The sequence below is a fragment of the Homo sapiens genome, chromosome 16, assembly GCF_000001405.40.
Source record: "Homo sapiens chromosome 16, GRCh38.p14 Primary Assembly".
Taxonomy (NCBI): Eukaryota; Metazoa; Chordata; class Mammalia; order Primates; family Hominidae; genus Homo; species Homo sapiens.
In genome coordinates, this window is record NC_000016.10 from 7,988,393 (window position 1) to 8,012,337 (window position 23,945).

At 40.3% G+C, this 23,945-nt stretch overlaps 1 long non-coding RNA gene across 1 annotated transcript in view; it reads right to left on the reverse strand.

The window, feature by feature from the left end:
• Positions 1-23,945, reverse strand: part of LOC105371069 (uncharacterized) — a 236,274-nt gene that overhangs the window by 111,910 nt on the left and 100,419 nt on the right. Inside the window, exon 2 of the long non-coding RNA NR_197430.1 lies at positions 18,753-18,832. This is a non-coding gene — a long non-coding RNA (uncharacterized LOC105371069). The remainder of the gene's footprint in view (positions 1-18,752; positions 18,833-23,945) is intronic.

Sequence of the window (23,945 nt, forward strand, 5' to 3'; positions counted from 1 at the left end):
GAAGCTGAGCACAGCGATGGCCCTCCCTGAAATTCTCTGAAACCAACAAATCATCTTTGAAAAGAAGAAAATAATTAAGGCACTGGCTATTTTCTTCAGGTGGCTTTGTCCCAAACATTTTCTCCAACTATGAGATGACATTTGATTCACCCTTATGAAACAGACATGAGACGGGTAATACTGCACGGGAGGTCTGAGAGGGTGCTACCCTTCCTCTGAAATGATCATAAACATCATTTTGTGAGTCCAAACTAGCAGGCTTGATTCAGCAAGTGCAAGCTTACTCACTTGAAGCAACAGGGTACTGGAATATAGACTGTCTGAGCAGATCTAGTACAAACGGTCCTTGTATTTTAAAATGAACATTTGTTAAAATGTCTTTTCAAGTTATGTTTCATTAAAGTATTTTCCTCTTATTACAAAGGAAACATGTTTATTGTAGCCTAAAGCAGAAACTAATGGGAAAAACAGACTATCCCATCCAGAGCTCACCAGAATCAACCTATGTGTGCATAGCCTCCTCAATCCATTCTACATTACTTCTTCCTCAAAATTAGATTATGTTTTATTAACTCATCCTTGCATTCAATCAACAAGTATTTATTCAACCCCTATGGTGAGTCATATGCCTAGGATACAGGCTTGAACAAAACAGATATTACCGTTGAGCTCATGGAGAAATTAGCAAGGAAGACATGTTTTTTTAAAAAACTCCAGACTTTCAGTTTTACAACAGTAAACATATTTTACTTCATTCTTCCTTTAGATATCATTTCAAAACAACAAAAAGAGAAATTTAAATGCCTACTTCATTTTTGAAGATGCTAAAAAAAATTTGTAGTTCAAAATACACACATACACACACACACACACACGGCTTCCAAATGTGGCGAAGTTCATCAGAAAAAGGAAGAGAACAAGGGTTACTATATGCAGAAAGTTTTCCAAAATCAGAGTTACAATCTGAAGAAAATAATCGTCTATTCATCTTTTTCAGTATCAGAAGTGATGTGTAGAGAATAACTAGTGCCTCTTCTTTCTGCTTAGCCCAATAGATAAGTGGTCGGTGGAAACAAAATAAAACACACACGCATAAACCCACATACACCTATGCACATGCATGCATGCCATATTTGTAGGAAGCTATTTATCAACAAGGCAAGGTGAAGAGAGCCCTGAAGCAGAAGTAATACTTTAGGTGCTGATCTTGGTTGTCTGGCCTTAAAAAAAATAATAAATTACCAAAAGTCATTCTGGGAGTGAAACAAAATGTAAGTATATTAACTACTAATGAATGTTGTTCAATAATAATTGAAAAAAACCTCTTCAGAAAATTACTGGACTCAGATGATTTTGAAGGGGAGTTTTACCAAAAGTTAAAGGATCAGACTACTTCTATACTATTTAACCTCTTACACAGGTGGCCCATACACCTGTTTAATCAGCAGCCCTCAGCATAGCATTTTAAATAAAATCACTACCATATTATAATTCCACCTAAAAAGTAACAATAATTTCTTAATATAATCCAGTATCGAGTCGGTGTTGAAACTTACTCAATTGTCCCATGAATGTGTTTTAACACACTTTTTCTAGCATAGCTGTTTTAATCTGCTTTTCAGGTTTAATAATCATTAACTTTTAATATCATTAATGCATTTCTATGATAATAATTATTCAGTAATCACCATCCTAATGAAGGAATAGTATTTAGCATACGGATAAACTGTAAGTGATGTCAATATTTGCCGTTTTTGTTACTTCAAAGGAAACCCAACTAAGCTGTTCAGTAGCTAAACATGTTTGCATGTTTACATTCTTAAGTCCTATTTCTGCAAGTGTAAATGATACACAAGGAGTATTTTTCTCTCCTAAAATTTTTAAAATACATTTTCTCCTAGAGTTGCTATATATGTAAGTGCCTTTTTCTCAGACCTAGCTAGCACTACTATTGGTTTATCAGTTTTTTTAATATCTACATGAATCATAGGAAACTACATCTAATTTTTCTTTTAAAAAAAGTAATTTTTAATTATTATGGACATATGATAGTTGTAAATAATTATGGGCACATGTGAAATTTTGACACAAGCATACAATGTGTAATGATCAAATCAGGGTAATTGGGATATTCGTCACCTCAAGCATTTATCATTTCTTTGTATTAGCAACATTCCAATTCCACTCTTTTTGTTACTTTGAAATATACAATAAATCATTGTTAACTATAGTCACCCTATCGTTACCAAATACTAGATCATATTCCTTCTATCTAGCTGTATTTTTGTATCCGTTAACCATCCTCTGTTTATTTCCCCTTCCTCACTGCCGTTCCCAACTCTGGTAACCATCCTTCTACTCTCTTATCTCTGTGAGTTCAATTTTTTTTTTTTTTAAGCTCCCACATATGAGTGAGAACATGCAATATTTGTCTTTCTGTGTCTGGCTTATTTCACTTTCACTTCCCAGATTCCAGTTCCATCCATGGTGTTATAAACGACAGGATTTAATTCTCTTATATGGCTGATTAATAGTCTATTGTGTCTGTACCAGGTTTTCTTTATCCATTCATCTGTTGATGGACACTTAGGTGGCTTCCAAATCTTGGCTATTGTGAACAATGCTGCAAAACACATGGGCATGCGGATATCTCTTCGATATACTGATTTCCTTTCTTTTGAGTGTGTGCCCAGTGGTGGAATTGCTGATTCATGCGGCAGTTCTATTTTTAGTTTTTTGAGAAACTCTGTGCTGGTTTTTATCGAGGCGCTAATGATTCGCATTCCCACCAATAGTGTACAAGGGTTCCTTTTTCTCTGCAGCCTCGTCAGCATCTGTTATTGCCTATGTACTTCATAAACAGCATTTTGACGGGGATGAGAGCATATCTCACTGTGGTTTTGATTAGCATTTCTCTGATGATTCGTGGTGTTAAGAGTTTTATCCTATACCTGTTGGCCCTTTGTATGTCTTCTTTTGAGAAATGTCTATTCAGATCTTTTGCTCATTTTTAATTGTTTTTGTTTAGTGTATATTCCTTCCTTAATGAGACTGACCTCTTTGATATATGCTTATTAGCCATTTGGATTTCTTCTTTTTATTTGTCCATTTTCCCCCTTCTAGAAGTTTATTCTTAGACTTACCAATTTGGGTGTTACTTTGATTCTCAATATTCCGCTTAGAAAATAAAACCAACATGGTCAAGCTATAGAAGGATATGCTAAGAGGGGCCAGGGCCCTTTGTAGATATCGTTGAGGTTTTTAGAGAAATGAGTTCTCTGCAAGAACAAGTATTCAAGAAGAAGTTTTAATGCTTTGGAGAAGCTGTCACTGGAGAGATTCCAAACTAAATGTGAAAATAAACCAGGGAGTTTTAAAATTTCTTGGTATCTTGAGATCTTCCTGTTAAGGAAAGATGGCTGTTTAAAAAACAGGTATCCAATTCCTCAAAACTCTGAAAATTATAGAACAACTTGTATCCTGCAAAGATAGCTTTTTATACTAGCTGGTTGAAATCTTGCCTGGTTTTCTTGTTTATCTTTCTTTCTTTTTTGTGTTTTTCTTTTCCAAGTCTCACTCTGTCACTCAAGCTTGAGTGCAGTGGCGTTAGCTCGGCTCACCATAACCTCTGCCTGCTGGGCTCAAGCAATTCTCTTCTCCTGCCTCAGCCTCCCAAGTAGCTGGGATTACAGGCGCGTGTCACTACACCTGGCTAATTTTTGTATTTTTAACAGAGACAGAGTTTCACCATGTTGGCCAGGCTGGTCTCGAACTCCTGACCTCAAGTGATCTGCCCGCCTCGGCTTCCCAAAGTGCTGGGATTACAGGCGTGAGCCACCGTGCCCGGCCTTTGCCTGGTTTTCAAACTAACAAGATTGTAAGAATCAAGCTCTTTCATATAAAAGTTTACTGTAATTTCAGTGATAATGAAGATCATTTAATTTAGGAGATGAGAGAGAGAAATAAAGAACACAGAAAGGCAGAGTCAGATATAGAGAGAATGGAAATGGAAAGAAGGAGAGAAACATGGAGAGAAAGAGAAGGAGGAAGGAAGGGAGAGAAGGCAGGAGGAGCAGAGACGGGAAGACAGAGATAAAGAGAAAGAAAGAGAGGGAGACAGAAAGGGAAAAAACCCTTCATTAACTCATATATTGGCCTGAGTCACTGGATATGATTTGTATGACGTTGAATTTAGTATTTTTGTTTAAACTTCCCCCTGTCCTCCTTTTTTCAGGGGTGGATTTCTTTAGCCTCTAAAAATATTTACATAAAATCGGTATCAGGTTTTTTTCATGTTAGCTGAGTGCCATTGTTGAATTCCAAGATACAAAACCAAACAAGGATAGAGTGATAGCCTTGAATTAAAGCCCTCTCAAGGGTGACTTTCTGGAACACCACTCAAAACATGAGCAAGAAAGCATATGTGCAGCCTCTGTGCACAAACCGCCCTCCCTGGTTTTCAGAATGTATCACCCTTCCAGTAAGCACTTCCTGAAGGCAGTGTGGATTCCAGTGTTTATTGACAATGTCACTGGATTTGCGGTTAATGCTGTTTCTTTTAAGTGCTTGGGTGAAAATAAGAAAAATAGTGAACAAGTCTTGAGCAGGTAAGATGAATTAGGCATTGCATTAAATTGTGTCTTCACACGAAACAGAATGTTTTTATTCTGTAATCTCAATTTCCAGTGCTTGCATCCCCAAACTTTAATCTCACTTCATAGAAGGCCCAAATCTACGTGACCCATCAGGAGTATCACTTAAGAGTGCAAATCTAACAAGAAATCTAGGATAATTCCTTGAACTCTAAATTCTATGAAACTAATAATGATTGCCCATATTCCTTCTGAAGAAAAACAACCAAACATAAAAGACTACTCAGTTAGCTTGATTATAGAATGGTTTCACAAAGATAAATATGTTCCATTCTGGGGTTAACCCCTGGATTCTGTTTTAAGACAAAGTAGATTAAAAATACTTTTACAGCTCTTTGAGGAATTGCCACACTTCTTTCCACAATTATTGAACTAATTTACACCCCCACCAACAGTGTCTAAGCGTTCCTTTTTCTCTGCAATCTTGCCAGCCATCTGTTATTTCTTGACTTTTTAGTAATAGCCATTCTGACTGGTGTGAGATGGTATCTCATTCTGTGTGTGTGTGTGTGTGTGTGTGTGTGTTTCTGTTCTGAGACGGAGTCTTGCTCTGTTGCCCAGGCTTCAGTGCAGTGGTGCGATCTCAGCTCACTGCAACCTCTGCCTCCCGGGTTCAAGCACTTCTCCTGCCTCAGCCTCCCAAGTAGCTGGTATTACAGGCATGCGCCAGCAAGCCCTGCTACTTTGCGCATTTTTAGTAGAGACGGGGTTTCACCATGTTGGCCAGGCTGGTCTCAAACTCCTGACCTCAGGTGGTCCACCCACCTCGGCCTCCCAAACTGCTGGGATTACAGGCGTGAGCCACCATGCCCGACCTCACTGTGGTTTTGATTTACATTTTTCTCATGATCCACCTATCATGAGCTTCTTTTTTTCATATGCTTGTTGGCTGTATATATACCTTCTTTTGAAAAGTGTCTGTTCATGCCCTTTGCAGTAGACTGAATAAAGAAAATTGGTACATATACACCATGGAACACTATGAAGCCATCAAAAAAGAACAAACAACATCCTGTCCTTTGCCGGGACATGGATAGAGCTGGAGGCCATTATCCTTAGCAAACTAACACAAAACAGAAAAAGAAATGCCACATGGTCACACTTAAAAGTGGGAGCTAAATGATCAGAACACATGGACACATAGAAGAGAACAGCACACTCTGGGGCCTGTCGGAGGGTGGAGGGTAGAAAGAGGGAGATGAGCAGGAAAAATAACTAATGAGTACTCAGCTTAGTAACTGGGTGTTGTATAGAAATGATCTATACAACAAACCCCCAATTCCCAGATTTACCTATGTAATAAACCTGCACGTGTACCCCGAACCTAAAATAAAAGTTAAAACAGACAAAATAAAAACATACTTTTATAGATTGTCTATGGCCCATATGGCTTCTAAAGAATATCATAGGCCAGGGGCGGTAGCTCATGCCTGTAATCCCAGCACTGTGGGAGGCCAAGGCGGGTGTATCACGAGGTCAGGAGATCAAGATCATCCTGGCTAACACAGTGAAATCCCGTCTCTATTAAAAATACAAAAAATTAGCTGGGCATGGTGGCACACGCCTGTAGTCCCAGCTACTCGGGAGGCTGAGGCAGGAGAATGGCTTGAACCTGGTGGGTGGAGGTCGCAGTGAGCAGAGATCATGCCACTGCACTCCAGCTGGGGTGACAGAGCGAGACTCCGTCTCAAAAAAAAAAAAAAAAAAAGAAAATCATGGAAGGACTTTATTCTCTGAGAACCTTCAAAATCCTCTCCTCATGCAAGAAAAAACTATCCCCAAGTAGAATTCTTAAAAATTATGTAACATATGTCTCCATTAGTCTTCCTCTAGTACATATTTGGCATTATCATAGAATCAGTCCCTGTTTAAAGAGACTCACCTAAAGGAAGTAGGGAGACAGAGCCCCAAACCCAGTGTTCTTCCCGTTCCCCTTATACTGTTCAGACCCCTAATCAGTGGTGAAATGCAGGATTTTATCCTACCAGACTCTTGTCCTTCTATTCAGAAGAAACCTTAGCAGAAACATCCAGACGTTCCCCATTTCCCATACATCTGGGGATCCAATTCTAGGTCTGTGTTTCGAGGAAGAGAGACATGAAGTAGCAATTGTGACTTTTTTTGACGGAGTTTTGCTCTTGTTGCCCAGGCTGGAGTGCAATGGCGCCATCTCAGCTGACTGCAACCTCCGCCTCCCGGGTTCAAACGATTCTCCTGCCTCAGCCTTCCAAGTAGCTGGGATTACAGGCATGCACCACCATGTCTGGCTAATTTTGTATTTTTAGTAGAGATGGGATTTCCCCATGTTGGTCAGGATGGTCTTGAACTCCCGACCTCAGGCAATCCACCTGCTTCGGCCTCTCAAAGTCAAAGTTCTGCGATTACAGGCGTGAGCCATCGCGCCTGGCCGACTTTTTTTTTTTTTTTTTAAGTAAGCACAGATAATAGATGACTCCACAGAGTGTGAAGTAGATAGGACTGTCTGCATTTCACATCTACCAGAAGCAGACCCAGGAAAAACAATTCAAGTACAAGTAGAGTTTAATTAAGAGTTAAAGAAAATATGAGACAGTGGGTGGGGAAGTAAGACAGGCAAAATAAGTGACACAATAAAGGGTGTGTTGTCATGTCAGTTATCCTGGTGAAAGACTGCGGCTTAGTTAACCTCCCTGGAGACTCTCTGGCAGCCAAAGTAGAACATGCACCTCCATGTTACCCCATCTGAGGGGTGAGGACAATGGGGTATTTATACACCAACTCCGCTCTACCATTGTTTGAGGGATGCTTGTGAATGATGTTAATTCTCAGGTCTTCCAGCCTGCCACAGAGTGCTCAACACCGACACTGGTAGCTAAAGAAAGCTCCCGTGGGTAATGAAGTGCAGGTGCTGGTGGGTGGAAGTCTGACCAGCTTTTGCAGAGGCATTAAAGATGAGGGAATATGGGCAGAACATCTACAACTTCTGCTCAAAAGACAAATATTTGTCTTTCCCCTGAGAGAGAACTTATCTTGCTGTTAAACCTTAAGCATATCACTTCACCTCTTGAGATATCAGTTTTCTCATCTTAAATGAGACTGAGGGTGCTGGGGGAGGAGGTATTGGAGGGAAATCCAAAGAGATCTTTGGTCCATACACAAGTACTGTCCCATTTCTCTAAACCTGTGTTTCTCTGTGCCTCATACAGCCACTTCCTCAGTAGCTCTATCTTCAACTAATGGATAACTTTGGAGATCCTTTTTCAAATTCTTGATTGGGCTCCAGACTCATTGATATCTCTCCCTGGATTAAAGCTTCTGATGCATTCTGCACCCTCGTGAAATTGCCGCTGAAAGCAGCAAGATGAACATCAAACTATTTTGCCATGTAGCATGACTTTTTTTTAGATGCAATCACCATTTTAATCATATTCGCATTTGTGAAGGGAGAACTTTTGGCAGTTAATGCACTTTAAGAAATTTGGGGAAAGATAAACTCAAAATGGAAATATATTATGTCAGCCTTTGGCCGTGTTGCACTTCACTATGGATGTTTTACCATTTGCTGGCATAGTTATCTGTCTTGTAACTCATCTGTAAATGTGCAGACAACAAAGTTGAAAATCATAGCAAGTGTATCACAAAACTGACAGACTTGCTTTGCACTCAAGATACTCCCAGCCATGTATGGCAACGGAATCTTCAAAAATACTAGAAGGCTTGGGTGACCCAGTTTCATTGTATCTTGTGAGTGTCCTACCTACCATCTGCACCAATAAGAAGGATCTTGCCCACATCCACAGACTACCTGTTATTAGACTAGGTTCAAATCTCGTTACTTGACAAACTACCTATCCTTGGGTCCTCTTTTTCTCTTACATGTTTGCCAAAAAAAGAGGCTAAAAACAAAAAGTGTCTTGTCCTCAAAACAAGGATTTATTACTATTTTACTACTCTTAACCCAAAGCATATCTGTTATGGCAGACATAATATATTGACCAACACAGATGGATTTTAGCTCATATGGGATTGAGACTATTATATGCTGAATTGAACTCCTTTGGTTTTTGCCACATGGCTGTGATTGAGTTTATCACCTAAGCCCTTTCATGTGGCTGAGAGAGGGAGTCTAGAGGCTGATGTTCTGACAATGAGTTGACACACATAACTATAACCATAATCCTGGCAATGCAAATATTCATTTGGATTGGGCAATTTGTAACTTTTTCTTACCTGGAAAGCTATCACTTAAAATGGCCATTTGTATTTGGCCAGTCCAAGAACATGATAGAATTATTGAAAGAAAGAAGCAGAGGTGGTTGGTTGGATGTTAGGGAGCAAAGGAAGTTTGGGATCATCCACTGCTATCCTAACATTGCTTGTCACAAAAGAGCAGGGAAGCAAGAGACTAATATGACCTCCGAGAGTACATGTTTGGGGAAACATGCATTCCTTTCTCTTTCTAATTTATGCTTCAGTGCCTCTTCAACCGAGAACCAGGTGTATGTCTTTGATTACGAAGGTAGGGTGAAAGGGCTGTCCTAGTTATTAGGAGTGGCAAATGAAAGCTTTTGTGTGCAGCCTTTAAAAAGCTGATGCATGGAAACTAGTACAGAGTGGAAGGTGGAAAGAGTAGAATTTCCAGGAGACTGTGTAAGAAGGAAGCAGCCCCAGGCAGAAGAGTTTTTTCTTTTCCATTTCTACAAGAGAAAAAAAGGAAAGGGAGAGAAAAGACTCACGTAAGTCCAGACATTCTATTTCCTCTGTGAACCAGGATTGGAAGGTAAACTCCTTTCCTCAAAGTTTCTATGGGGAAACTTCTATAATGTCCTCATTCTACTGCATGGAAGAAGACATCTAACTGATGAGTGAAATTCCTGTGACCACTGGAACGTGTTTCTTGATTGGATAAGCAAATATATTTAACACTGCCACATAGGTGGTCTTCTTCTCTCTACTCCCCTCTTCCATTTTCCACTACAGTTTTCCTCGCCATATATCCAATATCTTGCTCCAAATCTGTTTTACTTTTCTCAGTTGAAAATGTGGCTGAGTGTAGTGGTGCATGCCTGTAGTCCCAGGTATTTGGAAGGCTGAGATGGAAGGACTGTTTGAGCCCTGGAGGCTGATGCCGTAGTGAGTCATGATTGCAACACTGCACTCCAACTTGGGTGACAGAGTGAGATCTTGCCCCCACCTCCACGAAAAAAAAAGAAAAGACAAGTAATAAATTTTCACCTTCAAATGCACCGAAGGATCCAAAGCCCTCTTTTGAAGGTCAAGGGCAATGTCAAAGAGCAAGTATCCTGGGAAGGGGAGGATCTTTTAAGTTACATACAGGGAATGGGATAGAGAATTGACAAAGGCACCAAGAGAGCCCTGAACAGCTTAGGAGGCCTAGTTTATGTTGATGCCTTCATTTGAGCCCCCATCTGATGCCATACCTGCATTTAATTAGCCCCGGAAACACAATGATGTATAAACATGGTCCCTGACCTCAAAAAGCTTAATGTTTACGATGTATGCAGGGTGGAAAGTGGATATTTGTGTATACTTTTAACTTCTATTGAGGAGAAACAGGCAATCACTATTGTGTGATAAGTAGAAGGGGAGATATTCAATCCAGGTCAGAAGGCTTCATACAGCAGGTGACACTAGAGCTGAAAATAGCAGTTAAAGAGGGGTAGTGGGGAAGAGTACACAAACAGAGAGAGTACAGGATTGAAATCCCAGAGGCAAGAGAATGCATGACTTTTTGAGGGTGGGGTAGTGTTTCACTAGGGCTGAAATATTGTCCTTCTATTTTTCAAATGAAGCAACTGGAGTTCAGAAATTCAAGTGCTTTACCCAAAATCACGGAGTTAATAATGCATAGAACCCAGGCCTTAGAACTGACAACCTAGTGCTCTTCCACTAAACCTCACCTCCTGCTTCCCCACTGAGTCACCTTAAGATAAGGACGCACATCACTGACTCTTGTTCAGCTCTTCTTCCTGTTTCCTTCCAAAGATGAACAAGAAGATGGAAGCAAAGAGAAATGAAACCTCCCAACTCGGGGCAAAGGCGCCATATGTCTTCTAACTCCTGGGCACCACGGGGAGTCTCTTTAATGACCTTCCTAATTCTACCCCCCTCCTCCTGTTCTTGCATCGCAATGTTGGCTGCACATATGGTGCCTCTCCCTTCCCGAGGAATTGCTTTTACTGATATCGTTTCCTGTCACAACCTTAATATTCTTTTAATGTACTGCCATTGCTCGCTGCAGAGCTAATCTGTTATCCCTTGTTATGGAGACCTCATTCCATACGCAGAGCAGAGAATCGTGTCTCTGAACTAGAAGCAACACTTTGTGTTAGTATTAAACTTTGACTTTCAAATGATGGACATTATATTCTGGGTTGTGAAATTTTGAGTTTGCACAAGACATGACTGTATTACTTTAGACGGCTTTCCACCGCTGCAGTTGTTATAACAGCAACTGCAACTGCAATAGCAAAACAAAAAAATTATACTGTTTTAAAAGCATAATTCCACAGAACTGAAAAGTCCAACCATGGAGTGGAATACAAGTAAGGCTATATCAAGCAGATCACTAGTATCACCAAGGATCAAGGGATTTTTTACATCTCTTCACTTTACCTTCCTTGGTCTTGGTTCCTTTCTTACCTAGGGTACATTGTTGATTCCAGAATGATTGACATCAATAACCAGGTTATGAGTTTCCCAGTTTACAATAAGCAAGAGAGGAAATATCTCCACCTGAAGTCTCCAGTAAACGCCTTAGTCTCATTGGCCTGAAATGCACCATATGCCCACCTGTCATGTGACCAGGGATAGGAGATGTGCTGATTGGCTTAAGGCCAACCAAACTAAACCTCAGGTCCAGATCTTTAGGAAGGATGGTAGGGGGCTGGGCGCAGTGGCTCACGCCTGTAATCCCAGCACTTTGGAAGGCCAAGGCAAGTGGAACACTTGCGGTCAGGAGTTCGAGACCAACCTCTCCAGCATGGTGAAACTCCATCTCTACTAAAAATACAAAATTAGCTGAGCATGGTGGCAGGCGCCTGTAACCGCAGCTATTTGGGAGGCTGAGGCAGGAGAATTGCTTGAACCCAAGAGGCGAGGTTGCAGTGAGTCGAGCTCCCACCATCACACTCCAGCTTGGGGAACAAGAGCAAAACTGTCTGGGGGGGAAAAGACAAAAACTACAGCAAGGAAGCATGGTAAGAATGCAGGAATGGGTGCTGAAACAGCTACCAATGAGTCAGAATGGGCTTTAGGGGGTCATTACAGAGATAAGGATTTAGGTTTCAACTGTCTCCATTTAAATACTAGCCCCATCCCTCCCTGAGTGATTTTGGGAATCACTCAATTACTTAATGTCTCCGTGCTTCATTCTCCACATTTGTAAAATGGGATTCATGTAAAAACAAGCTAGTAAACTAATTTTAAAAGTGTAAATTCTGTGTGTGGCATTTAAAGACCTTCCAAAAGCTAAAATAAAGACTAAGATGAGGAAGGTTCATTTCACTGAGGGTGACCTTTCTCTCTAAACTTTACAGTTGTATGAAGTACCACATTTAGTTAAACTCTTCCATCTTCCTCCACTGCTTTTAGCCATACAATAACGACATGAGGCAGGGAGAGAAGGGTCTCTTGTACCCACCTTACACAAGAGAAAACCAAGGCCCAGAGGCCTTCAAAGACTTGTCTGAGTTGAATATACAGATCAATTGACAAAATTGTTCTTCAGGGTTCAGAGCCCTTTTCAATATGAAAAGTGGGCATTGGAGTCCTTGATTTATTTTTCAAGGTTCTAAATCTGCACTGTCCTATACAGTGTACACAAGCCACAAGAGACTGTCTAAATTTACATTAATTAAAATGTAAAATGAAAACTTCAGTGTCTCAATCATACTAGCCTTGTTTCAAAGGCTCAAAAGCCACATGTGGTTAGGGAATACCATATTGGTCAATGCAGATATAAAAATATTTCCACCATCACTGAAAGTTTTATTGACAGTACTGGCCTAAACCAACAAACACATTAAATGCCTAATATTAGGTTACTTTTTCACAGAGCTGAGACAGGAAGTGATGGAGTTAAAATACTTGGCCAACATTCCTTCGTTGTCCTGGTTAGATTACAATGCAGGTAGATTAAAATAGTGGTAAGATTTATTAAAACTGACTGGTTAGGATTTTCTTGGCTATACGGGCTCTTTTTTGTTTCCATATGGAATTTAAAGTAGTTTTTTCTATTTCTGTGAAGAATTTCAGTGGTGGTTTGATGAAAATAGCATTGAATCTATAAATTACTTTGGGCAGTATGGCCATTTTCATGATACTGATTCTTCCCATCCATGAGGATGGAATGTTTTTCTATTTGTTTGTGTCCCTAAGCAGTGGTTTGTAGTTCTCCCTGAAAAGGCCCTTCACATCCCTTGTTGTCTGCATTCCTAGGTATTTTATTCTCTTTGTACCAATCGTGAATGGGAGTTCACTCATGATTTGGCTCTCTGCTTGTCTATTGTTGGTGTATAGGAATGCTCGTGATTTTTGCAAACTGATTTTATATTCTGAGACTTTGCTGAAGTTGTTTATCAGCTTAAGGAGTTTTGGGGCTGAGACAATGGGTTTTCTAAATATAGAATCATGTTGTCTGCAAACAGAGGCAGTTTGACTTCCTCTCTTCCCGTTTGAATATGCTTTATTTCTCTTGCCTGATTGCCCTGGCCAGAACTTCCAATACTATGTTGAATAGGAGTGGTGAGAGAGTGCATCCTCTTCTTGTGCCGGTTTTCAAAGGAAATGCTTCCAGCTTTTGCCCATTGAGTATGGTATTGGCTATGGGTTTGTCATAAATAGCTCTTATTATTTTGATCTATGTTCCATCAATACCTAGTTTATTGATAGTTTTAAACAGAAGGGATGTTGAATTTTATTGAAGGCCTTTTCTGCACCAATTGAGATAATCATGGAGGCATCACACTACCTGACTTCAAACTATATTACAAGGCTACAGTAACCAAAACAGCATGGTACTGGTACCAAAACATACATATAAATATAAAAACCAATGGAACAGAACAGAGACCTCAGAAATAACACCACACATCTATGACCATCTGATCTTTGGCAAACCTGACAAAAACAAGCAACGGGGAAATGGTTCCCTATATAATAAGCGGTGCTGGGAAAACTGGCTAGCCATATGCAGAAAACTGAAACTAGACCCCTTCCTTACACATTATACAAAAATTAACTCAAGATGGATTAAAAACTTAAATGTAAAACCCAAAACAATAAAACCATAGAAGAAAACCTAGACAATACCATTCAGGACATAGGCATGGGCAAAGATTTTATGACAAAAATGTCAAAGGTAATTCCAACAAAAGCAAAATTGACAAGTGGATCTAGTTAAACTAAAGAGCTTCTGCACAGCAAAAGAAACAATCATCAGAGTGAATAAGCAATCTACAGAGTGAAAGAAAATTTTTGCAATCTACCCATCTGACAATGGTTGAATATCCAGAATCTACAAGGAACTTAAACAAATTTACAAGAAAGAAACAAACAACCCCATCATAAGTGGGCAAAGGATATGAACATACACTTCTCAAAAGAAGGCATTTATGCTTCCAACCAACATATGAAAAAAGCTCAACATCACTGATCATTAGAGAAATGCAAGTCAATACCACAATGAGATACCATCTCATGCCAGTCAGAATGGCGATTATTAAAAAGTGAAGAAACAATAGATGCTGGAGAGGCTGTGGAGAAACAGGAATGCTTTTACACTGTTGGTAGGAATGTAAATTAGTTCGACCACTATAGATTCTTCAAAAATCTAGAATCAGAAATACTATTTGACCCAGCAATCCCATTACTGGGTAGACACCCAAAGGAATATAAATCATTCTACTATAGAGACACATGCACACGTATGTTTATTGCAGCATTATTTACAGTAGCAGGGACATGGAACCAACCAAAATGCCCATCAATTATAGACTAGATAAAGAAAATGTGGCACATATACACTATGGAGTACTACGTAGCCATAAAAAGGAATGAAATCATGTCCTTTGCAGGGACATGGATGAAGCTGGAAGCCATCATCCTCAGCAAACTAACACAGGCACAGAAAAACCAAATACAGCAAGTTCTCACTCATAGGTGGGAATAGAACAATGAGAACACATAGACACAGGGAGGGGAACAACACACACCAGGGCCTGTTGCAGGCTGGGGGGTGAGGGGAGGGAACCTAGACAATGGGTTAATAGGTGCAGCAAACCACCATGGCACACGTTTATCTATGTAACAAACCTGCACCTTCTGCACATGTATCCCGGAACTTAAAGTAAAAAAATAAAATTGACTGGGTACGTGGCTCACACCTGTAATCCCAGCACTTTGAGAGGCTGAGGTGGGCAGACCACTTGAAGCCAGGAGCTCAAGGCCAGCCTGGCCAACATGGCAAAACCCCATGTCTACTAAAAATACAAAAATTAACTGGGCATGGTGGTGCATGCTTGTAATCCCAGCTACTCGGGAGGCTGAAGCAGGAGAATTGCTTGAACATGGGAGGTGGAGGTTGCAGTGAGCTGAGATCACACCACTGCACTACAGCTTGGGTGACAAAGCAAGATTCTGTCTCAAAAAGAAAAAAACAACAACAGATTTATTAAAACTGAGAGAAGAGATAACCTCCAGAATGGGAGACTATATGTGCAAAACATACATTTAATAGAGGGTAAATATCCAAAATAAACAAATAATTCAAACAACTCAATAGTAAAAAAAACAATCTGATTTAAAAATGGGCAAAGGACCTAAATAGATATTTCTCAAAAAAAGACATACAAATAGCCAACATATATATTTAAAAATGCTGAACATCACTAATTATCAGGGAACTGCAAATCAAAACCGCAATGAGATATCACGTCACACCTGTTAGAATGGCTATTATCAAAAAGACAAAAGACAACAAGTGGGTGGTGAGGGCACAGAGAAAAAAGAACCCCTGCACCCTGTTAATGAGAATCTAAATTAGTACTGCCACAGTGGAGAACAGTATGGAGGTTCTTCAAAAAATTAAAAATGGAACTACCATGTAAGCCAGCAATCCTACGATTCAGTATATATCTAAAGGAAATGGAATCAGCCTATCGAAGGGAGATCTGCTCTCCCATGTTTATTGCAGCACTATTCACAATAGCCAAGGTATGGAATCCACCTAAGTGTCCATCAATGGATGAATGGATAAATAAAACGTGTCATATATACTCATAGAATATTATTCAGCCTTAAAAAAGAAAGCAATCCTGTTATTTGTGACAACACAGATAAATGTAGAAGACATTATGTTAAGGGAAATAAGCCAGGCACAGAAAGATAAACGCTACGTGATCTCACTTACATGTAGAACCTTAAAAAGTTAAACTCCTAGAAGCAGAGAATAGAATGGTGGCTGCTAGAAGCTGGGAGCAGAGATGGGGGTGTGTTTACAGAGTCGTTGGTAAGAGAACACAAAATTTCAGTTGAACAAGTTTAGGAGAGCTATTGTATCATGGGGACTATAGTTAATAATATACTTAAAAATTGCTAAGAAAGTAGATTTTAAGTGGTCTCATCACAAAAAAATGGAGAAGTATGTGAAGTCATGCACTGAGTTAAGTAGCTTGAGTCAGCCATTCCACAATGTATACATAGATCAAACCATCCTTCTGGATGCCGCAAATATATATAATCTTACATGTCCATTTAAAATCATGAATAAATAAATAAAATCACAAATGGCACCCACATTTTGGTAGGCCAGGTGTAATTGTAAATAACAGCATGAAGAGGGTGAAAACACGGTTAAAAAAAAGCCCTGCAGATTATGGCAACCAAATAAAATTTTTTGAGAGAATCAATAAAAGAGAGAGATTGCTGTTGGTCACCCAGAATCCTTTCTGTCTACATATATAGGTGCTATTTTATTGGATATTAAAATAAAATGAGATAAAGAAAGAAACCTTTTGACTCAGTTTGAAGCAAATTCTAATTTAGAAGAGTTTTAAACTTTCTTTCTCCCCTCTCCCAACCCCATCTTTTATTTCTGCTCTCCAAAAATCACTCTTCTCTGCAGCAAGGAACATCCGGAGTACAGAAACAGTGAGCGGAAGGGCTTTGGCAATTTTAATATACACATTGAAAGCTACGAGGAACCTGGCATCCTACTTTGGAATGGTTTGGAACCATCTCCCCATTTTCATGCCAGACCATGTTTTTATAATTAGCTTCTCTAAAAAGGACTCCATCCTCAATGCATGTTGTGATTTGTGGACATGCTGCAAACAAAGAGGTTTCATGGCAAAGGAAATGTAACAGGGCCTCTTCTGTTTACTCTCCCTCATTTTTCTCCATGGCTTATCTTCCTCACAAGGCCTTAGGTGTGCCGTGTGTGTGTGTGTTTGTCTGTGTGTGCAAGTTGAAAGTGGCAAATAATATGGGTAAGTGGAAATATCATTGAGTGAAAAAAAATTATTTTTTCTTGCTCATCTGTTACCTGGCCAGCCAAGACCATCATCGGATGACAAGCACTCGGCCTCTGTTTCCCCAAAGCAGCATCTGGCTTTCTGGCTGACCCTCGCATGCACGTGTGCAGAAACGCAGCTGGTTTCTCTGGATAATGACAAGCTGCGAGTTGCTTCCTCTCTCTAGAGCCATTTTCTTTGGCTCCCCTTTGACCTAGTCATTGCAAGGTTTTCTCCCCATTTGGAAGCTTTTTCCTGCATTCATTTTTCATGAAGCCTTTATGTGTCTCTGATCACCCTTTTAAGAAAGGGATGAGACAAATGAATTCTTCATGTGCCTCTCCTATGCCTGTGTGTAATATATTTTAGAGCCTCTGGTGGGCTAAGCAGGACTTTAATACCTTCTATGTCAGGGGAAAATGATATGTTGATCTGAAAGAAATGTTATGCCAGCGGTGACATGTGTGTTCTCTTGAGTATTTACAAAGAGTATTGCTCTTAAAACTACCCTAGTTAAAAATGTGAAGTCTTTAAGGAGAACAAACAAAAACAAAGGCAAAATAAACCAAAAAACAACAAAAAATAGGGTTTCAGAAGTATATGCATGAGATGATTTTAGCTGCAACTTTGGTTCTAATTAGGAAAGACTTTAAAGAGAAGGCTCTCACATCTAAAGGTGAGGTTACCTATCCCCACCCCATTACTTTAATATGGTCAGGGAGAAAGAACTAGGAACCCCATGCTAACAGGTCCCCACAGCACCTCGGCCTCTGCTCCCACTTCCTCTCACTCCGTGTTTTTCCCTGCTCAGAAGGAGGCAACACTGTTTTTCACGCACCATCATCAACCTAGTTCTCAAGGCAGAATTCTAGAATTCACCTTTGATTCTTTCCCGGTTTTTAAATGTTTGGCACCAAATAGGTTAGCAAGCTCTGGATGTTCTATGTATAAAATATCTCAAATCTAGCAACTTATCGGAACCACACTCTCAACACCCCACTCCAAGCAACAAACGATCTCTCATTTGGATGATTTGCAGCTGCATCCTGACTTGCCTTCCTGCTACCATTCTCCTTTTCGGGATTCTTGTCTCCCCCAGCAAGAGCTTCCCTGGTGAAATGTGAATCAGGTGAGACCATTCCACGCTTGAATAGCCTCATCTCTTGTGCTTAGATGAAGCCCCTGTCTTTCCTTGGTTTGTGAGACCCTGAATGTTCTGACCCTGACTTGCACCGCCAACTGCACCCCACTGACCTGCTTCCCTACTCCCTAAGTTTCAGCCACATCTGCCTTAAATTAATTCATAAAGGCAGGCTCTTATCAGATCCTAGGTTTTCCCCACAGGCTGCTTCCTCTGCATAGAATGAATTTCCCCAGATCTTCACACACCTAGCGCTCGGTCTTCCATTAGGTCTCATCCAAAATATGACCTTAAATTTTGTTTCTGAGCACTTAATTAAGGACCCCCACCTCACTGCCTCCAGGAAGATCTTCTATCCTTGCCTTGTTTGTTTGCTACAGAGCACTTATCCCAACAGCTGTTATTTTGTTGATTTGCTTTATTTTTTTTTCCTTCTGTCTCACCCACCAGGATGTCTCCTCCATTGGAACAAGGGTCTGGTCTTCTTGTTACTTCTGTATCCCCAGAGCCTGACTAAGGTTGTGCACCTAAAAAAAAAAAAAATTCAGTAAATATTTTTTGAGCAAATTAATAAATGAATGAATGGGTGCATGGATTTTTTTTAAGTGGAGTCTCATTCTGTCATCCATGCTGGACTACAGTGGCACAATCTTGGCTCACTGCCACCTTCGCCTCTTGGTTTTAAGCAATTCTCTTGTCTCTCAGCCTCCCGAGTAGCTGGGACTGTAGGCACACGCCACTATGCCTGGCTAATTTTTGTATTTTTAGTAGAGACAGGGTTTCACCATGTTGGCCAGGCTGGTCTCAAACTCCTGACCTCAGGTGATTCACCCGCCTTGGCCTCCCAAAGTGCTGGGATTATAGGTGTGAGCCACCGCACCCTGCCCTCTTAACGGTCTTCTGGATGGATTCTCTCTGTTTAAGTATGAACTGTTAACCATTGCAGAAATATTGATCTTGAAATCTGGAAAACTCTGAAACGATTCTATTTCATGTGGTCTCATTGCAAACACTATGTCAAGAGGTTGGGGAAAATTTTAGAGTGAAGGAGGACTTTCTAATACTCAAAAAATTAATAAAACAAAACAACAAAATAAAAAACAGTCAACTTGCCAGCTCAGTTCTGCATAGCAGTTCAGATACGTTATGATGTGCTGACATAAAAAACCCTGGCATTTGGGAAGGTGCATTTGTCTGGAACAGCTGGGGGCCCCAGACACAGAGGATGGGAGGGTCTCACTCTTAGGATATTTCCCACAGGCCTCCACGAGTACTCACCTATGACTGCTGACAGGGCAGGTGATCAGAAAAAGACCCCTCTCTCATTAATGCAGGTGTGCAAGAGATACCTGAATGCCACCGTAGAAAGGAACAGACCCTGCTCCCCACCTTAAGCTCCTACAAAGCAAAGTCCTTAAGCAGCAGCAGAGTAACAGAAAGCACCGTCACCTCTAGAACACAAGTAAAGACCAACCGCTGCTAAGAGAAAAGCAGGAGCCATCCACAGATTAAGGTCAGCTTTAGACTGTACGAAACCAAGAGGAAGCGTCCTGTGGCATCAAAGAACACAAATTTTAGACTCAGACCCTCTGATTCTACCTTTCTCATATGTAAAATGACAATAATAAAAGCATTATTATTAATATCTGTTAATATTTTTGTGAGGTGCATAGAATAGAGCCACACATTATATTTATGCATCAATCAATCAATGAGTACTGAAACACACATAAAAAAATGCAATCTATGTCAGTTCGTGTTTATTACTATACTTTGTAGACTATGGAGATGATTTGTTTATTACATGTTTGATACACGAAAAGAGCTAATCAGTAATGGGATGGCTGGGTCAAATGGTATTTCTAGTTCTAGATCCCTGAGGAATCGCCACACTGACTTCCACAATGGTTGAACTAGTTTACAGTCCCACCAACAGTGTAAAAGTGTTCCTATTTCTCCACATCCTCTCCAGCACCTGTTGTTTCCCGACTTTTTAATGATTGCCATTCTAACTGGTGTGAGATGGTATCTCATTGTGGTTTTGATTTGCATTTCTCTGATGGCCAGTGATGATGAGCGTTTTTTCATGTATTTTTTGGCTGCCTAAATGTCTTCTTTTGAGAAGTGTCTGTTCATATCCTTTGCCCACTTTTTGATGGGGTTGTTTGTTTTTTTCTTGTAAATTTGTTTGAGTTCATTGTAGATTCTGGATATTAGCCCTTTGTCAGATGAGTAGGTTGCAAAAATTTTCTCCCATTCTGTAGGTTGCCTGTTCACTCTGATGGTAGTTTCTTTTGCTGTGCAGAAGCTCTTTAGTTTAATTAGATCCCATTTGTCAATTTTGGCTTTTGTTGCCATTGCTTTTGGTGTTTTAGACATGAAGTCCTTGCCCATGCCTATGTCCTGAATGGTATTGCCTAGGTTTTCTTCTAGGGTTCCATTACTGGGTATATACCCAAAGGACTATAAATCATGCTGCTATAAAGACACATGCACACGCATGTTTATTGCAGCACTATTCACCATAGCAAAGACTTGGAAACAACCCAAATGTCCAACAATGATAGACTGGATTAAGAAAATGTGGCACATATACACCATGGAATACTATGCAGCCATAAAAAATGATGAGTTCACGTCCTTTGTAGGGACATGGATGAAATTGGAAACCATAATTCTCAGTAAACTATGGCAAGAACAAAAAACCAAACACCGCATATTCTCACTCATAGGTGGGAATTGAACAATGAGATCACATGGACACAGGAAGGGGAACATCACACTCCGGGGACTGTTGTGGGGTGGGGGGAGGGGGGAGGGATAGCATTGGGAGATATACCTAATGCTAGATGACGAGTTAGTGGGTGCAGCGCACCAGCGTGGCACATGTATACATATGTAACTAACCTGCACAATGTGCACATGTACCCTAAAACTTAAAGTATAATAATAAAAGAAAAAAAAAAAAAGAAAAGAGCTAATCATTGTTATTGTTCAATTATCCTCCTGTGATGATTGAAACTTTTATAAAATGTGTTTAACTTTCCTGTCTTGCTATTAGCCAGATTTCACTGGTCCAAGGTTGAAATTAACCAGGTAGCATTAATATTGAGGGAATTCTGGAATGAAACAATGGAAAGAACCTGAAGCTAGCCATCTCTCTTTACCCTAGTACATGCCAATCCACATTCCCTCGGAGGACAATGTAAGCGCCCTCCTCTCTGCTCACCAACATAAAAGGAAAGTCAACTGCCAATGAAGCAGAAAGATATTACTGATGCTTTTCAAGAACAATCTCTTCCTGAATCTCCTTCCTGGTCCTGAGATGATGATGGGTGTGATGTAGTTATAGGATCTCACTTGGACAAAGCAGGCTTTGTTCCCACGTTAACTATAGAGTTGCAGACAAACAAATGCCTCCCTCCTCTACCATTGGATTGGCCACCTTGCACTGCTTAAAATGAAGCAGTGATAGAGTATCAATGAAAACAAAATCTATTTATTTATAGCTGAGTGACCTTCTGTTCACTAGTGTTAAGGATCCCTGGTGCCTGACCAAAAACCACATTCCTCTGAATATTTGGCTAACACCTTGAAATTTAGGACCTTTGGCTATCTTCTAAGAGGGGGTCATATTTGAGCATTCTTTGTGCTGAGATCTAATGCTGATCTGATACAGGATATATGCAGACAGCGATCTCATCAAGTGATTAGTCCCTCTCCCCAGTAGGCCACTAGGTTTTCTTCCTCCAACTCATTTATCCCACACTGTTGGTTTGGTGTGAATGTAATAGCTTGAAAGAAAGATTGTTCTGGGTGCCATGAAAGAGCTCTAGGTGTGGAAAAAGCAAACCTAGTTCTGTACCTTGAATTAGTTACTTTATGTGCCACAACAGACTACCCTTTTAATTTCTTTTAATGTTAGTTTCCTGAACTATTACATGCAGAGATTAATATCTATTTGCTAAGCATGGTTGCTTTGGGGGAATCGAATATGTAATACTAATAATTGAATTGAACCTCGTGCTTCTGATATGCCAGGGACCATTGGAAAACTTCACCTGTTTTATTTTATTTAATCCTTAAGCAACCCTAGGTGATATCTGTTACTATTATTTCCATTTAAGAGATAGGGAAACCGGCTGGGAGTGGGTGGCTCACGTCTGTAATCCTAGCACTTTGGGAGGCCAAGGCAGGCGGATCGCCTGAGGTCAAGAGTTCGAGACCAGCCTGACCAACATGGAGCAACCCCATCTCTACTAAAAATACAAAATTAGCTGAGCGTGGTGGCACATGCCTATAATCCCAGCTACTCAGGAAGCTGAGGCAGGAGAATCGCTTGAACCCGGGGGGGTGGTGGTTGCGGTGAGCCAAGATTGCGCCATTGCACTCCAGCCTGGGCAACAAGAGTGAAACTCCGTCTCAAAACAAAAACAAAAACAACAACAAAAAACGAGATAGGGAAGCCGAGGCCTGAGAAGTTGAGTAAATTTTTTTAGCTTGGGTGTGAATTCAAATCGGATTAATGCATTCCAGATCCTGAACTCTGAAACATGGACATATCACCTCCAATGAACAAGCCGAAAAAAATGTTAATGCATAAAATGCTCTGAAAATGTCAGTACTCTCATTACTTGTATTGCTAATACTCTAGTACAGTACCTACATAGAAGAGTTTTACATTTCTAAAAACACAAACCATAATGAAATGACGTTTAAAGAAGTCATTAAATGGCCGGGCATGGTGCCTCATGCCTGTAATCCCAACATTTTGGGAAGCCGAGGCGGGCAGATCACTTGAGGTCAGGAGTTCGAGACCAGCCTGGCCAACATGGTGAAACTCCATCTCTACTAAAAATACCAAAATGAGCATGGCATGGTGGCATGTGCCTGTAATCTTAGCTATTTGGGAGGCTGAGGCAGGAGAATCACTTGAACCCGGGAAGCGAAGGTAGCAGTGAGCCGAGATTGCGTCACTGCACTCCAGCCTGGACGACAGAGTGAGACTCCATCTCAAAAAAAAAAAAAAAAAGTCATTAAACATCTAATATGTTAACTATTGAGCTGATTGCAAAGACTCTGACCAGCACTGAAACAGCACTCTGAAAATAAGAGAGATGTTTAAAATTTGGGTAAAATTTTTCCAGATACAGATTCTAGGCTTGATTAGAGAACAAAGTGACAGGTTGAGATGTTATAACAAACGCAGCCTTCTTACAGACTCATTCCTGAGATGGAGTAAATTAGACAGATGGAGAGAGAAGAGTGAAACCGTGACCTCACCCCTATTTCCTTCACACCTTGCTTCTTCAGTTTCACAGGTGCCTATGGGAGGCCTAAGGGATGAGACAGAGATGTTCTACTCTTGGATGGCCTGAAAGTTCAGCTTCTCAATCTGCCTATGAGACCATGAGGCAAGAACGGACATCTAAGAGACTCCAGTTATAACATGGTCTCTTTTCTCCTTTCCAAGACTAAGTCTCCATGTAACTTAATAATGATGAATTTATTTACATAAATAAAATACAAAAGGGCAAAACTGTACTAATAAAACAGCACTGTTATTTTCATTGACAAAGACAAAGAATTTAGCAAACAGAGTTATTTAACATTGGTGGTAGAAAGAATCTTGGTGATCTC